This window comes from Homo sapiens, chromosome 7 (genome assembly GCF_000001405.40).
Source record: "Homo sapiens chromosome 7, GRCh38.p14 Primary Assembly".
Classification (NCBI taxonomy): Eukaryota; Metazoa; Chordata; class Mammalia; order Primates; family Hominidae; genus Homo; species Homo sapiens.
The window spans coordinates 88,170,207-88,188,597 of NC_000007.14; the positions used below are offsets into that span (position 1 = coordinate 88,170,207).

The following is an 18,391-nucleotide window of genomic DNA, read 5'->3' on the forward strand; positions in this document are numbered from 1 at the left end:
TCTTTATAAATAACTAGCCCAAATAGCTAAAGTTTTAATGTTTCTAAAATTATTCAGAATATGTTTAGGAATATAGTGGGAATGTAGATATTTTAATAGAGGAATTAAATTCATGAATATGATGTTTTACTTATTCTATTTGCAATTTAAAACCCCATTTAGAACCTGAGAACTCATTTTCTCATTAGTTTGTCCAGTTAAACTTTCTACCCCTTCTCCAAGCCTTGGGGTGGAGAATAGCAGGAATTAAAAAAAAAAATAAAGTAGAATGCTCATTTGGAACCGTATGGCTCAGGAAATCAGATTGAAGGAATAAAAAGCAAAACATGTTGAATAGAAAAATACCAGGCTTATTTTTCCCCCATCTGATAGTTTCCAGGATGAAAAATAATAACAAATTGGCACCTTTGCCGTCATGTGCCCGTTATCAAACGTGATATGTATAATGTGGATGAAATAGACTGGCAAGTAAAGATGTTACCAATGAAATCCATATGAAAACATTATCCTTGATCTTAGAGGAAGCAGCCCAAAACTACTCACTTGCATGACCTTTCTAACGTGTCTCCAAAATATTAACACTTAATTATGTCAAGATAGAAAGTTAGCAGTGAACTCTTGAAAAGTCACTGGTACTGTACTACCACACCCTGTAGAGCAATTTTTTAATAAGATCCACTTAGTTGGAAACTCATTTAAGTCGATTTTAGCTTATGGTTAAATAAACACAGAGACTAAACATTGAACAAGTATTTCCAATGTGAAGCTTCAGCGAGTAAGTAGTAATCACTTAGGAGATCCTTAACAGTCACGAATTGACTCACTCCTATTTATCATACCTGATGAAATAAAATGTTCTGGTATTCATTTATATTCCCCTATTTGAAATTCTTAGGAATAACTATAGTTTGGGGTTTATATTCCATTAGGAATGAATTATAATTTTATTTCTGTAAAAAGTTATTTATATAAGTAACTTGATTCATTAATTTCATTAAGTCAATGTATGTTTGAAGACCTGTGTTTGAAATAAGATTTACTTTAGAGCAGTGATTGATGTTGAGAAAACAATTACTCTTTAATGACTGCAGCATATTTATGTTTTTAAAAGTGGACAATTGTTTGACAATATTGTCACTGACTCTTTGTTGCTTCTCCTGATGATGAGGTGACATTTTTGTGTGTGCATTCCCATTTTAATTCTGTAATTCAGAATCCTCTAGTGAAGACTTTTCAATGAAAGCTAGAGCTTTTATGTTTAGAGCTCCCTCTTGATGTCCTTCCAGAGGTAACTAACTCTTATGTTTTTCCCTCTTTCTCTTCTTGTCCATGAAAAGAAACTATCGAGAACAGAGGTATGTAATACAAATAATGTGAACATAAAACTGAAAGGTTTGACTCATATTAGCATTGTTGGAATTCATACATGCAATTATAATTAAGTTCACTTTGTTTTTATGTATAATAATCATACACTAATCGATTTTTCATTATCTTGAGGTAATTTTAATGATGGTGCTGTGAAATATAGCAATTTAAAATAGATCTGTCATTTAATTTTAATGGATCTTTTATCCAACGATACTACAATTAGTGGAGTCTTGCTTATTTTTTAATAGTAATATATATAGAAATTGATTTTTTCCATCTAAAACAAACTTCCTCTATGTTAAGGTGTCCCATTTGTTTACATTAATATTAGCTTTTCTTCATGTTTGTAACACTCTTATTGCCTAATACTTTCTGAGGGAATTTATTTATTACTGTTTTTATATTAATAATATCCATTCATAAGTGACAAAGTTTATTTGGGCAGTGTTGCTGTTGGGAATGTTCTAGCATTTCGTGAGCCTGTTTATCTCTGCATAAGGAATTTTTTGTATTGATTAGGTAACTGCACATTTAAAGAAAGAATTTGCATAGTTGGAATAATAAAAATGCCTATATTCTTGAGAAAGTCAGACACCCTGTATAGCATAACCGTAAAAATCTATGTTTAACCAACAGCTTAAAAGAGATACAAAATGTTCATGTTGTTCTATAACAATTGCCTATTTTATCTGAATCTAAATTAGCACATAATATTGGAATGCACTCTTCACTTTTCCCACTTAAAAAGTTACTAGTGCTGTTAGCTATTGATAAAAAATATTAAAATATTATCCTGGAAACTGATAACCTAGACCAGGTCTTACACATGATAATGGTATTTAGTTCTATACTCATGGTATTTATGCAGATTCCTATTTACTTAACCTTTTCCATTGTTGAGTTGCATGCTTGTGACAGGTTATGAATAAGGTGTATAAATGTGGTAATTTGTCATGCTCCATCACAACTTTCATTTTTTTCACAAATCAAAAATTTAAACTTTACTCTTTTTTAAATAAATTAAAATTCCCATAAGGCTTTAACCATAGGTATCTGTAGAATCTGTATAAATATATAGTGCCCATGGGTTACCATTTGAAATCCTGGTCAGTTTGTGTAGACAACAGAAAATATTGACCTTTCCCTAGAGTGACTAACTCATCATTAATGGAAAAAGTAAAACTGGGACAAAATTACAATTTAAGAACAACCAGATTTCTTCATGATGTGTTTTAAACTCTTGTGTCCAAAAGCGCTTGCTTAGAGCAGGAGCCGCCGTTTAGACTTTCTGTTGGGTAGAGGTTGATTGATCGTATTAGAAATCTAAGTTTGGTGAGTTTCTTTAGTGGAAAATAGAATTAGGCAAATAAGATTAAAAAGTTAATGATTCAGCTTCATTTCCACAGGAACTAAGGCTATAATGTAATTTAATATTGCTGAATATATGAAAATGAAAGTGAAATGTCTCATAGGCAACATAAGCAAAGCTAGCACAGTGCTCTAAGATGTGTTCTCATTAGGGATTCTATCCAGAATAAGGGAATTGCCCACACTTTAAAAAAATGATTAATATTGAAAAGTATGCACAAATTTCTTGTTCTAACTCAATATGTAGAGAGATATCGTTAAGAACATTTTCACATGAAGAATCTCCTTTATGTGCCTGATATAATTTCATGTCTCCTGGTGTTACTGAGTCATCATTTCATTGATCTGGCTACTCTTTTGGAATCTAGTCCATCATATTTTGAGAGTTGTCACATCTTCAGTGGATATTTATTTTATATATTTTGATATATGTCAACACAACCTTTTTTTTGTCCTTGCCCATAACTAATGAATATTAGGTTTGTACAGTAGGTCTCAAAGTGGAGAAATGGCAAAGAATAGACTTTAGATCAGGAAGTTGTGAATGTATAAGTGTTTTCTAAATGAGTTTCCTTTTTGAGAATATATGTTAGTGATTATAGACAAAGTGGTAAGGCCAACAGACCAAAGCATGCATTAAAAAATATTCAATCTTATAAAAATATCTATAGACATTCAAGTAAAGATCTTCCCAATTCCAAAATATACCAGGAAGTAAAATTAAGGATTTTGAGTTGTTATTGATTTTAAATGAGGTTTTTCTTTGAGGTTCCATGGTAGGGAGACCAGTCCACAAGGAATCAGAAATCTACTAGTATGTGGTATTGGAAAATCAAACTTTCCTCAACTCTGAAATCAAGTAAGGTTCTTTGTAATCTGTAAAGCATTATGGTGACGGGAAGTTATTAGCATGTGGTCTTGGAAGACTGTATTTCTCTGATCTTTGAATGAAAGAGGTGAATGCAGTTGTTCTCAAAGAGGAAGGCAGCATTCATTGACATGAGTGAGGCTCACACATACTGGTTGAGGTGGTGGAAATGTCGGTGAATGTAAACTTTTGCTTTGACACTAAATGCAAGACCTAATAAGTATAATAGCCTGTTATCAGATTCTTAATACTGTTGTAATGGCTCAGAAGTACCAAAATGGGCATAACTTTCCAATTCCTGGAGAGGACAGGCAAGTAGTTCTGTGAGTGAATTTGATAACCAGATAAATTTTCTCTTCTGAGAATGAGTCCTCAAGGTTTTCAGTATAGAGAAGGATTATATTCTATGTTTTCTTGCAAGTTTGACAAACAGATGTGAAGCAGACCCACGTTTTTTTTCTTTTTGTTCACAAACTTTGTAATAGAAAGAAACCGGAAGCTCCATTCTGGGTCATAGTGAAGGCAGAACTCCACATATGTGCAGCATCACTTTAAATCTGCCAGTGTCTTATAATGGGCAGAATTGTGGAACAAAGGAGCCATAGCCTTAGACATTAGGTAATTAGAATGATGGTTATATTTATCCTTTCATTTAAAATATTCAGGAAGGAAAACTTCCCCAATTTTTTCAGTTGATATTATTGTTTATATTATAGCACAATTGCTTTAGGTCTTAGAAGCTATATGACTTGTAATGAGAATTATAAGTGGATTTTAGTTTTTAGGGTAAGTTTGCAAATAGCAATAGAATAAGAAACAGTAACTGAACTTAGATACATAAAACATTCATATTTAGCTGAAATCTTATTCTCTTCCTTTGTCTGAGATGAACACACACCATTATGATTGATGAGAAATATAAAAAATAATTAGATTATATCTTTTTGATTTATGGTTTCACTTTAAGCAGAATGCCCTCCCCTTCCCCATTTCTTTTCTCTCTCACCTGTTTTAGCCACTTTATTTTCTACTTGTGAACTTCTCATCTTTTTTCCAAACCTTTCTTAGTTTGTTTTTATATTATTATTATTATTTCGGTGATATTCCTGCATCTGTCAATGTTACTTGGTACACATTATACAGTATTTCTTAAAACAGTAAAGTAGCAATTTAATAAGAGACAGCCCAGATGCCAACCAAGCATTGGAGAAATGCCTCCTTCAGCACTAAAGTTAAGAGTTGGTTAAATGGTTTTTTCCTCCAACATTTTAAGTATGCATAAGAATTATTAAGATAAATATAATTCAATTGATGCTTTTAGGAAAGATTAGACTTCTCTCATAACAGGACCATTAGCCTAAAGGTTTTGGGGTGATCAAGAAACAGTCTTACTTGATGTTTAAATTTAGAATGCTAACATAACAACTAGATGATTTATAATTATGAACACATTAAGAGTTGTCTTCTGAAGTGGAATAAGAATAAGCAAGCAATAAGCATAGTATTGTAGACCTGGAGAGAAATAATTGTATAAATTAGCTCCCCCAGAGTCATTAAGTTACAGGGGTTGATCCTTACCTAGAGAATAGGAAATACCTTCAAAAGAATGTTATTTAATGGGATGTATCGATTCAAAACACAAAATGAAATGCCAAAGTTGTACAGAGAAGAAAAAGACAACATGTAATTAATGTGGGGAGAGATACGTTTTGAGGGGGAAAAAAACTAGTTACATAAGTGTTTATTATATTTTGGCTATTGTTCACTAAAAATCATACATGTCTAAAATATTTGCATGTAATATGAGAAATTTGAGGTAATTTTCCCATTATAAAATTTAGCACTAATCAGGCCACCTACTGTGGTGATCACTTTTAGTTTCCAAAATTTGATGAAATAAGAAAGCACTCAAGATTTAGGAAGAAAGCCGTAAAGATAATAAAGGACTGGAAAAAGAAGTTTGATTTAAAATTTTAAAAGGATCATTTACTTAGTCATTTATGACAACAAATGATGAAAAGTTATTTTATTTACCATGGGGGCTTGATATTCTCTGTTAAAGCAAGAAGAATTAGCTTTGTTATGATATGTAATTAATAATTGTAAAAAAGACAAATTTCTAAATGAAGGATGTTAAACATTATTATTAGTAGTAGTATTGTTATTATTATTTTTTTGAGATGGAGTTTCGCTCTGTCACCCAAGCTGGAGTGCAGTGGCGCGATCTCGGCTCACTGCAACCTCCGCCTCCCAGGTTCAAGCGATTCTCCTGCCTCAGCCTCCTGAGTAGCTGGCATTACAAGTGCGTGCCACCACACCTGGCTAATTTTTTTGTATTTTTAGTAGAGATGGGGTTTCACCATGTTGGTCAGGCTGGTCTCGAATTCCTGACCTCGTGATCCGCCCACCTCAGCCTTCCAGAAACATTATTCTTAAGAGATCTTTAACGAAATTCATAACCTATCACTGACATTTACCATGTGAAGAAAGTTACATGCATTCCTTATGGAATTTTAGGGAAAAGCCAGTGAATTTCCATCTTTTGGAGACTTTGCAGTGTGATAGATAAGAATCTAATCTGCTCAACCTAATGAAAACAAGGTGGTGCTCCAGAAGTACATTGAACTGAAACTGACTGAAACCCACAGTTTATGATGTATTTAGCATTTAGGGTGTTTGGGCACTGTGTAAAAAATGACCATGGACTTCAGAGAAGTTACATTGAAGGGATAATAAAACGTGTTCAGTTAAAAACACAAAACAAAACTGGGCCCCATCCATTGTGAAACATAGTCCATCTACATCCTCAGTGTCAGCTAAGTGAGGCCTTACTTAATGTTTAAATTTAAATGTTAAAGAGAAGGCGATTTGTGGGATAGAATACTGGGAATGGTCAAGTGTAGTTCAGTGCTCTTGTATAATAGCTTGTCTTTATTTTTTACTTATTTTATTTATTTTATTTATTTTTTGAGACAGAGTCTTGCTCTGTTGCCCAGGCTGGAGTGCAATGGTGCGATCTCGGCTCACTGCAACCTCTGCCTCCCAAGTTCAAGCACTTCTTGTGCCTCAGCCACCTGAGTAGCTGGGATTACAGGTGTGTGCCACCACACCCAGCTAATTTTTGTATTTATTGTAGAGATGGAGTTTTACCATGTTGGCCAGGCTAGTCTCCAACTCCCAACCTCAAGTGATCTGCCCGCTTCGGCCTCCCATAGTGCTGGGATTACAGGCGTGAGCCACCACGCCCAGCCTGGTCTTTAATTGACTTGAATTTGGTGAGGCACATCTCATCAGTTTATAAAGATTATCAGTAAAGATAGTAGTGATAAATGGGATTTGTTAACCATAGATATTATTATTGGAAATGTGTTCATGGGATTCTTTTACAAATATTAATGTAATACAAAAGGGAAGTTTTCTCCCCAAGGCAAAAACTAGAACTCTGATTTTATTGACAGCATTTTTTTTCAAGCACTAATGGAATATTTTACTGATACAAGGTAAAATAGAAAATATTAATAAAGATCTCTTACAGGGGAAGATATAGCTGGTGTCATGTAACAATATAAATGTGAAGTTTCATATTATTATCCTATAAAATTAATGTTTTATATACTGGGGAAAAGAAAGAATAACTATTATGAGCTGAAGTCATTTACAGAATTAAAAATATTTTGGAGGAATCATATCAAAAAGTTATAGGTGGAATTAATCCTACATTACTAATTTCATGAGAAATTCTACTTTCTTTAGTAAACATAAAAGAGAGTAGATTAAATCACACAAGTTAAAATATGTGCTTCATACTAACTGAAAAATCTTTCAGATTCACAGACGTGTGTAACTAAATAGCATTAAAATAATATGAGAGTATTCAATCATTCAACAGAATGAATGACCAAGTATTTTAAACATTTACAACAATATGGCAAAAATTTAAGCAAGCAAACACCTGAAAATGGCATTTTGGGGGGATTAAATTCAGCATCAGCAAATAATCAAAATTATAATGGTAAATAAGGAGAAACCAAATAAGAAAAAGAAAAGTTAGCAAATTTGTGCTTTTGCTAGAGATTTAATTAAGCATAGCTTTGTTAAAAATTCTCAGTCCAGCACTAGTTTGTGGCACCTCCAACAATAGTACTGAATAGAAAAGAATCAAGTTTTAGGTGCAGTTGGCTATTTGGAGGCTACACTACTGACAAATGACCAGATTAGCTATTGCAGGAAGGTTAACTGGGGGCCTTATCTAAAATTTTCTATCTGATTACATTAGGAGAAGTAATAAAAATCTGTTCCAATCTTAATTTATTGAAAATCAGATGACTTGGGTCAATAACAGTGCAGATTAAATACATTTTCACTTGGGCACTCCTACTACAGTAGAGAGAGAGAACTAAGGTCACCCACCAACTACCTATAAATATACTTCTATAGTTTCAGCAAAAATTCAGTTATTTTTTTCAACCTTTTCTTGCTCTTGTTAAATTATCTTCCTTCACATGTTCCACTGAACAGTTATAAAATTACCTTTTTGATTTAACTTTGAATCTTTCCATTTCTTCGTATTTCTGTTAAATGAATAATGAAGCTCTAAATTGAACATCAAACTCTAATAGTGATTTATTTGGATGAAATTCTAGAATAGTTTAAAAGTCAATCAGTTCTTTTCAGACCAAATCCAGGTTGCATTATGTGATGTTTAGAAATTATAAATAGTTTATTCACCACAAAGAAAAAGAAAGCTATGCTTAATCTGGGTAGGGACTATCTGTCCTAACACACCTTCGACATATTTTTTTTTTAAAAAAAGACAAAAATGCACTTAACATTTTCAAGTATAATGAAGTTACCATGAAAACACTCATATTTTCATATTTTTCCCCAAAGCAAGGCTTTATTCATCCAAATGATAAAAGACTTTTGTAATTGCATTTCTGGCCTCTACAGTTAGAATGACTTTAACTTGTCTCATTTATTGATAATTTTATGTGTTGTGATAGATTTGATTCATGTAGATCATTATCCCTACCTCTCTTTTTTCCTGAAATAATATTTGTATATGTCTGTGTTCATGTGTGTGTCTTGTTTTCTGACTCTGAAATGTTTATTATGCCTTAGACAGTTACCCCAGGGAGATTATGTAAAAAAGCCTGGAGATGGTGACTCTTTTTATAGCGACATTCCTCCCGGAGTCAGCACAAACTCAGCATCTAGTTCTAAGAAGAGGTCTGCTTTTCTGTCGCATTTTCAGATTTCTACCTGTTCCATCACACATTATTCCATTAGTCAGAACATTTCATTATTTTGCAGCAGGTTTGATTACTTCTTCCTTCTTTCTTGAATGTTAAAAAATAGTATCCTTTGTTCTTTGATTACTCTACTTCAAAATGCCATATGCTCAGAACCACTCATTATACAAATCAGGCCACAAAATCAAAACAAAGCAAACCAAACAATAACTCTGAATCTATATAGAAACCTCAGGGTTTTTCAGTCTTGCTTTATATGGCTTAAGAAACTATACATAGTATTTAATAATATTTAAATGGTGAGCTTTATGTCATGTTTGGTAGTCAAAGAAAAAGGTTACTGTCATGCTTCAATAAAAGCAACTGTTAAATAAATTGGTGATATAAGTGCTGCATTGAGTATTTTTTAATTTTATATATATCAAAGCTAAGCTCGCTATGAAACAAAGATTGCTTCTCTGTGAATCATATATTTGAGTATTGTGATTTTGCCTTTTTTGGGGGGTGATTATTTCTAGACTTTATAAGTTACAACTTAGTTGACAAATTAAGTGTGCTTAATTTTGCCTGAGTTTTATAATAGTACAGGTGGGATTAATATATTATTTATGTCTTAGACACTGATGCTATATTCTTATTCTAGCATCTTAAGGTGTATGACACCATTTAAAATTCTGCATGCTTTGTAACTGCTTAATAAAATAAATGAAAAGAAGAAATAAATAGTTGGCATGTTTTAGGAAATGAGACCTATGTTCACATTGAAGGAAGCAAAAATATTCTTGTGGGAGAATTTATTTATTTAAAGTTGCCAATAAGAGTATAATGGACAGGAAAAAAGGTTTGGTAGCCCTGCTCATGCCTTTGGGCACATTAGCTACTTTTCAGAGTGAAGGGGAAGATGCTAGTTTATTGGAGGAAACATGACCTGTTCCGGAGTTCTGTATAGAGTGGATCATCTGTAAATATTCTGCAATGTCTCTCAGTCTTTGTAAATGTTAATCAGGAAGGAGAATAGAAGGAATTAGTGAGACCTGGGAACTCTACTTTATGTGGAACTTTCTTAAGCATGAAGGATAATTTTCACTTAGATAATGTAGCTTCCAGCAAAAGTAGAAACACTAGTTGTCGCCAAAGGAGTATGTTTCTACAGAATAATGTTTTAAAAAATGTATTCTTTTAATTTATGGAGGGCTTGTTGGCTAAGAGAAGACTAGGGTTCTACTTGAATTCTCTGATACAAATATTTTCTTGATAGAATATTAAATTTTAAATTAAACAACATGGTAAATTAGTGGAGAAATTAATGGTTTCCAGCAGAATTTCTGTTGTTCTTTTGTACAAAATATGAGTCATTCTGTGAGTAGCAAATGATGTTGAGAAATTCCAACCTAGGGAATTCATATGGAGTAGTTGTGCTGAGTTCCATTTATTTTCACTGATCAGTAGAAGGCTTTTTTTGAAATAGAAATTATTTCTATTATTATTCCATTAACCAGATTCCATTAACCAATATTCCATTAAATTATTCCATTAACCAGAATAATATGTGGAAAAGATTTTTAAGTATAGTGCTATTTTCTAAAGTTCCTATAAAAGAGTTTAAAATATCCATTTGAATAATTCCCAGATTTTAGAAAAATCTCAGTGGGTTATGATTCTTAAGCAGTTAAAAGTTCTTAAGATTTCTCTGAAGTATATGTAGCTTGTTAAAATTCTTGTGTGGTACAAGGTAGGTGTGTAAATTTTGCTTCTTTTAGATCATTCATTTAAAGATGGTAGGACACAAATAGCAGGTGGGCTCAATGGTACATGGGCTTTGTGAGAGGCACTGTCATGATAAACATCTGATTCAGTTCAGTTATTGAACAGTTAGCCAACATGTACTACACTTTTTTGGACCATATTTGTGGAGAAAAATGCCAATTCTTAGAAAATAATTTTATTACTTAAGAAAATCTAAATAATGCTTTGATAAATGTTAACCAGGTTCACTTGAGCAAATCTTTATGTAATCTCTTGGAAGTCCATGTTCTCATAATATCTGAGTGGAAACCATTGCTTTACAATTAAGAAACATCTATGGTGGGACCCCATTATAACTCTGCTGCTGGGGTGATGCTGAAATACATAGTGAATTTGCTCTGTGGTTGCTGTGTTCTGGGGAATGTAAATTGGCTTGCATTGTGTCTTGATACTTTTCATTTATATACTATTGTAATGGGGTTCCATTGTATTTGACTTTTCTTAAATTGGATGTTGTGTAATTCTGCCTTCTTCATGAAGACTTTCATGTTCTCTTCATTCTTTCATTTCAGATTTTTTCTTTCTTGATTTATTTTATTTAATGCACAGTAATGCTTAGAAGTTTTGCTTACTGATCTCAAAACATTCATTTGGTTACATTTTTGAACAATTTATCAATATTTTCAATTTCAGGTCAAATGGGCTCTCTCATTCTTGGAGTGAAAGGATTCCAGACACAAAACATATTTCAGACATCTGTGAAAATGGGCGACCTCGAAGTAACTCTTGGCAAGGTAGAGGCTGGCATTCTGAATCTGTCTGTCCACATAATCAAGTTCTATATTCTGTGGCCCCTGGTTGTAAAGACTTTTATTTCTTTGAAGCTCTTTAGCTCTTCTCCCAACAGAGAGGAGAATATGTAGAATGAGAGCCTAGTTTTTATCTGGATGGGAAATGATGGGATTCGGCAGCACCAGGACACTAGACACTTTGTGAAATTTAATTTGAGAAAGCTGTACAGTGTGACAAACCCGGTGTTCCACAGTGGTGCTGCTTATCAATTATACCCACTTGAAATGCCTCGTAATTAGACATAGGGCAATCACTTATTTACATGGAAATCTAGCTCTAAACCGTCTTTTTCAGGTAACCTGGGAGGCAACAAAAAGAAAATCAGAGGCAAAAGATTTAGACCTCGGTCTAATTCAACTGAGTAAGTCTGAACCTCTAATGGAAAAAGGCACTCCAAGGTCCTGTGCAAATAGTGTCAAAAGTAAATTAAGCAGATAGTCAAAGAACTGTAAACCATGTCTCCGGTCTTGGTTTTGTCTTTTAAATTCTTTTTTGCCCTTTAAAAATTAACCATGGCTTTTCTCTCTTACATAGGCATCTCCACAACTGTTCCCATACCAATATTCATTGATAGTGGGGGTCTCACCTGCAGGCTTTTTCCTCCAGTCACCTGCCATTGTGGGGTCTTGGTTCTATATGAAGGGAATTTGATAACATTCCTTTCTTCTCATCATCTGGGATTCAACCATTTCAAAGGGTCACCCTTCCTCTCCCCAATACTCACACAGCCTTGTAAGCATCGGGGAAAAATTCCCATTGTACTAGAGCATGATACTGCTCATGATCTAAAACCACCACTATGAGGTCTTCATGGCTGCAATCTAAGCATTCTCTCAGACTAATGGAATAAGTTTCCCTTTTAAATTTTCTATCTGAGAACATTTAAAAGGGCATTTTCCTAAACTTGCTCTTTAACTGAATCATTGTCACTAAATGCAACATTATCCGTTTTAAATGATAGCCATGCATTTACTTTTTTTTTAAGGGGGGTGGGTTTAGAAGTCACATTTAAAGTCATTTATAATGAAGTAAATAATGTATTTGTTTTGTTTGTTTCTCCACTTAAGAAAGTACAAGCAAAACAAAACCTCCTCAAATCTTTATCTCCCTTCATGGAATAAAACACATCCTTAGTATCCTTTTGGACTGAACTTGCCACCTGACTTTTTTTACCCATTCTATTTTATCCTTCCTAAAATTTTTTACTTATTTCTCACTCTAGCGATAGTTATTATTTCCAGGATCTCTATTGCTTCTTCATGCCTTAATATTTGGAAAGTCTGAATAGCAGGTATTTGTTAACTGCTTGTCAAAAACTTATGTTAGCTTTTCCGTCATATACCCTGCCTTTTTCAGTCCAGGAATAATAACATTGCCCTGAAATTTGGACCTTCCACCTGAATGGTATTGTCTTGTAAGTGGCTTGTCAACATGGATACTTTATAGACACAGTAGACAATTTCAAGTGATACCATTGCATGGTCCAGAATGGCATCATAGAATTCCATCATAAATAACTAATGTGTTAGAGTTTATCTTATATATTCCCAAAGCGCTTGGATGCTTTAGGGCTCATTGTTGATAAACTCTTCTTGGAATGTTGTTTGGTTTGTTTTGCATGAGGTCACCTAGTAAGAGCTCCTTAACTTATTTTAGTTGCTCACAGGTGTACAGATAAAATTGCAAAATGTTCTTTAGAACTTCCTTGTTTACTGTTTAGTGTTCTAACAGCATTTCCTATAACAAGACTTCAAAAACTCCTAAGTTAAAAAAAAAATCAGTATTATGTTAAAGCTATGAGCTTAGGACCTAACGCACATTTGGTGTTTAACAATATTCATACAGTGTTTTCTAGAGCAGTTACTTATTTTTTTAAATGTTGTGTATAATTTCCACTCACATTGTATGATTAAAATTGTAATACTACAGATGGCCTTTGAGAAATCTTGCCTATGAGATAATTAAATTATAATATTTAATATGACATTACAATAGGATCATCTTTATGAGGGAGAAGTATTAAGGACTTCCTCAGATTTTTCAGACTTTTCTGATTTTGGTTACATGACTCATGTTAATTAAATGGATCCAAGTCTGTAAAGCTGACCATAATTCTCACATACCTTCTTGTATAGGAACTGTCTCTCTATATATACACATGTATATATACATATATATATATATATTTATACATACACACACACGTATATATTTTCTTACAAGGATTCCTGATAGGTAGCATATCAAGAATTATGTTTGCAAACTTTTAATACTTTCCATATTTAAGTAATCCCATTTGCTTCTGATAGTATAATACCATTTGTGTGACTACAAGAGGAGCAGAATTACCACAGACAAATATATCTTTTATTTTTTTCATATAAGAGGTGTTTCAGGTCCATTACTCAAAATTCCCTTTAGTACCTCATTATTCCAAAAGATGATGAAAAATTGGGACATGAATTAAAACATGCACCATAAAGGCATGCTCTGCTAATTAACAAAATAAAATGTCCTCATATATTGTATTGTTTTTCCAGTCAAAACTTTTGCATCTTCCTCATTGTTGTACATGATGTAAAAACATTTTTTGGCTTAGACTTTGTATTATATATTGTGTTTTTACAGGAGGGAGCCCCAAGCACCTGAGCCTGGGCACTCCCTCGCCCAGACAGTCCCATCCCAAGGCATAAGCCCAGGGGGCTCTGACAGCCCCCAGACAGGGAGTCTGGATCACAGGTCAGTCTCCACCTGCCCCTTCATTCTGGGCTGCCACTTAATCTCCTTACAAGTCCTTTCCTTGGCTGAGAACAGGGTCATTTGATCTTTGAGCGAGCCCTCATGTTTGCCAGAGGTGCTCCTGGTCCAGCCAGCACCAGCTAATTTTCCTTTGCCTTTCCATCCTGGAAAACACAAAGAGCTCCCCTATCCCATCTAACGCCATTTTTTTTTGCATGTCGCGCTATATGCCAAGTCAAGCCACATAGGTAGATTTACTGCAATATGATAAAATCCCATCACTCCAGCCACCATGACCTTGAGATATCAGGAAGCTCACCATGAAGACATTTTCATGGGCAGATCCCCAGAAAGAACAAAAAATTGGGAGTTGTTTTCAGTGAAGAACTCTCTGGTGAAGTGACCACAGCCTTCTGAAATGCTCCCTCAAACAGAGGAAAAAGTCCATCAAGTGCAAGTCAAGCCATGTTGTTGTAGCATTCATGGAATAGCTGTGGCACCAGTACTTTGAGTTTCTAAGATTGTCAGTGAAAGGAACAAATGTCTCCTCCCGGAAGTGGCCGTCTGCCTGTGGGTGACTCACTTCGCTGTGTGGCTATGTTTCACCTGATTATAGCTGCATGGGCTTTTTCTACGGTTTTCCCCAGGCCGGAGCATTCACTAGCCTTCATTTGTGGCTGCACTTGGCTTTTTGACTTTTTCTTTTTGTTGAGAGTCTCAGTGGAAATCTTTATGCAAGTTTTAATTGGCTATCTGTGAAAGCACAAGTTGGCAATGATTATGGCTAAAGGCAAAACTAGTGTGAGTTGTTTCTGAGTCAGGAGATACTATCTTACCAAAAATGGTCTTATAAGCAGAAAAAGCAACTGAACCCTTCTTTCAGAAGGGAATTTCACAATGTTATTTTGTATAGTACCTCGATTATGGCTAAAAATGAGGGAAAGGGCTGTGGAAAAAATAACCTGATATTTTTATATAATTGGAAATGTAGTCTTCCATGTTTATGACGAGCTCAATAACTAAATATGGGAGAAAGAAGGAAAATGTAACCAGAAATAAATAATGTATTTTATAATTTCCCCTGGTTTGTTTACAAATAACTTACGTTTTATAGAGCTTGAATCTTTATTGTCTATAGTAGCCCTAGAAGTTGCTTTTTAAATGAAAAAAAAATGAAAAGTAAAACTTCCAAATTCTTCCAGTATGGAATTTGTTAAATCTACATTATTTTACAAGGGCAAACTCTGAAGGGGATGTATTTTTGCTTGGCTCCCAGGGTAAAAATCAAAGGAAACTCTGGGGAAAACCAACAACTGAAGACCTCCCTCCAATTTTTTTACCTTTAAAATTTGCACAGTAATTCTGATGGAAACATTGCCAGATCCATCAGGGAAATGCTAACTAAGGTCATTATTATTCTCTGGCAGTCATTCACACAATTCATGGTCAGACACTTGGAAGGCAACCTCTGAGGGTTGGTTCCTAATGGAAACATGAGCACTTTATTCTGGAGTGCACAAAGAAGAGGAAGGAACACTGCAGCTGCAACTAAATTACTAAACCCAGCTTCAAGATCATGGAGGCCTATTTAGACCACACAATGTGCATTGAGGCTCCAGGATCAGAAGAGTGGGACCCTATCTGCTCCTTGCAGAGCCAACTGGAACATACTTTCATGTTGACTCCAGCTTGAGACCCTCTATAGAGAGTAAGACAGTGGTCACGTAAAAGCCTTCTTATATTGGAAAGAGAACTTTGTTCCTTTTAATTGTTCTTAGGGTGTTGTATGCCCAAATGCCAGATTGGAATTGCAGCCATCTGAGTATTTTCAAAAAGCATCATTATCATTTAAAAACCAAAGAGCCAAATGAGAGGTGGCCTGGAAAAAGCCACTTTAGAGGTGGGTGAATGGGACTGCTGACTGTACTGTGATTGAAAGGGAGCTTCTAATTCACTTTGGGAAGCCACTGGAAAAGGCTTTCCCAGAAATGTTGAATATATTGTAGAATGCCTTGATTGAGCCTTGTTGTAGCTGAGATTATTCTCATGTCATTGTATAGACTGCCTCATAATCACCCAACATCCATTCTGGTTTATTTGCCATGGTCACTTGCATTTGGAGGGTGAAGACATCCTTGCTAAGCTTGTGCTGTGTATTTTCAGATTTTCTATCTTGTTCTGCTTTCTTTGTTCCTTCCATTGCTTTCTGCAGGTATTTAAACCCATGGTTCAAAAGAGACTATAATGTAGCTAAGTGGGTAGAAGATGTGAATAAAAACACTGAAGGACCATACTTTAGGTATTTTATAAATTAATTTTTATATCCTTCTCAAACTCTCCCAGCACATACAAATACTGTAGTGTGACTGGCTCTCTATCTTGTATCTCCCAATACAAGTTCCTATAGGTGGAAAGGGGTCCTTGTTTATTTGCTGCCTTTTGACTCTGTTTTTGCTTCGTGAGCAAGTCTGGTTCTTTTCTGAATGTTTCAAATAAAGCCATTTGAAAGGGTTGTCATTTAGTGCATGTCCCTATCACCATCTTAAGCTTTTTAGTAGCTTTCTCTTCATTTTATGCTATGTAGTGTTCTATGGGCATGAAACATACTTTCCACTAATAAAGAAGCACTATTAACCTGAACAATTTAGTTTCTAGAATCTAGCAGTTTCATAATGCATTTTTCCTACTTACTGCCTAAGAGTGCATAGTGCATACAAAAACTCACGGAAAAACGTATAAAGAAACTAAGTGAAATGTGATGGGATTTTACTTGGAGTAGAAACAATGATTTGGTCTAACTGGAAAATTACTGAGACAACATTGACCACATGGGAGTATGTGGAATGAGTTTAGGTTTTATTTGTTCAGTATAACCATTTCCTACCAGAGAAAGGCTGTGCTGAGAAGTGTTATACAGATTCTCAACAAAGCATGTAAGAAATTTTTTATGCTTATAAAAATGTTGTTATCTAATACTTCAAATAGAACAGGAAGCAGCTGAAAATATATTCTTGACTCACAAAATAGAAGAATATCGCTACATTTTAGAAACTATCAAATTTACTCAGTTCACTGCAGCTCTGTGTAACATTACAGGTCAGAAAGAATTTCCAAGAGTTCGTAATGGCATTTTTTACCCTTATATAATATCAAAGTGATTTTCTAGAGGTAAATGTCCACTTTATATCTGACTACTTTGTGGACAACTAAGGTAAAGGAGAAATATGTACTCAATTACTACCTCTTCTGAACACAATTTTACAATAAACTTTCATGTTACTGATTGCCATGACTTGGGTCAACATTGAACAGATATCAAAATATGTATGTGTTTTTAACTCTCAGCACCCGTATAAGGTGGACTCTCTCTTCCAGTGTACCATTTAGTTTAGTTATGCATAGTTTGAGAAAATGATTAGACCTACCTGCCTTTTAATTTGATCCATAACATTTGCATATACCCCAAGGAAAGCGTAACTCCTGCCTGCTCACAAAAATATATCCTGCTTTTATACCCCATCTTTCCCTCCTGCCCTGTCCCTCTGCTTGTCCCACACTTTCCCACACTGAACCTCATACACATACACTCACATTCAAACATCCCACCCTCATCTGTAGCTCCCAAGATGGCCAACATCAGGAAGACAGGTAAGATGATTTTGACTGTTATTTGGAATCTTGGCTCACCTGCAGTCCTATTTCTCCTTTCTGTTTTCCTCAGGCTTGTGGGCAGATTGTAATTTGTACCAGCCATGGAACCAAAACAGAATGACTTTCATCCTATATGGGTTAGGGCTTTTATTCCCAAATGGATTTAGCATTTTTGCAGCAATAATTTGTGAAATGGTACCCCGGAAGAGTTGATTCACCTCCCCTGGGTGAGCTGAGTAGTTTATGTGGCTCTCAGAGAAAGAGGTCACGTTTCTTAAAATCAGCACCCAGGTCTGCCCAGAAGCTGCATGACTAAATGCAATTTGGATGGGGAAATGCTTCAGCACCCCTGATTGCACGTGCAAAACTGCAAGGACAATTTTAGAGGGTTCCTTTGTTTTCTCTTCTAATATGAGATGTTGGTTCCTACAGTAGATAGTGAAATTAAGAATTAATTGTTAAAATCATATTTATGTTTAAAGGTTAGACAAAGTTCTGTGGACAGTTATAATTTAATTGACATTTTTTAGTTAATAAGGGTGAT

At 34.6% G+C, this 18,391-nt stretch overlaps 1 protein-coding gene across 32 annotated transcripts in view; it reads left to right on the forward strand.

Moving 5' to 3' along the window:
• Positions 1 to 18,391, forward strand: part of ADAM22 (ADAM metallopeptidase domain 22) — a 268,639-nt gene that overhangs the window by 235,956 nt on the left and 14,292 nt on the right. For 5 of the 32 annotated variants that reach the window (NM_021723.5, XM_017012333.3, NM_001391979.1 and 2 more), the window contains 4 exons: positions 1,338 to 1,355; positions 8,729 to 8,836; positions 11,299 to 11,399; positions 11,752 to 11,818. In NM_021723.5, coding sequence (NP_068369.1) covers positions 1,338 to 1,355; positions 8,729 to 8,836; positions 11,299 to 11,399; positions 11,752 to 11,818 — 294 coding nt within the window. Of the gene's footprint in view, positions 1 to 1,337; positions 1,356 to 8,728; positions 8,924 to 11,298; positions 11,400 to 11,751; positions 11,911 to 14,085; positions 14,197 to 16,408; positions 16,496 to 18,391 lie in introns of those variants that run through there. The other 27 variants (NM_001391980.1, NM_001391982.1, NM_016351.6 and 24 more) reach the window with 13 other exon arrangements.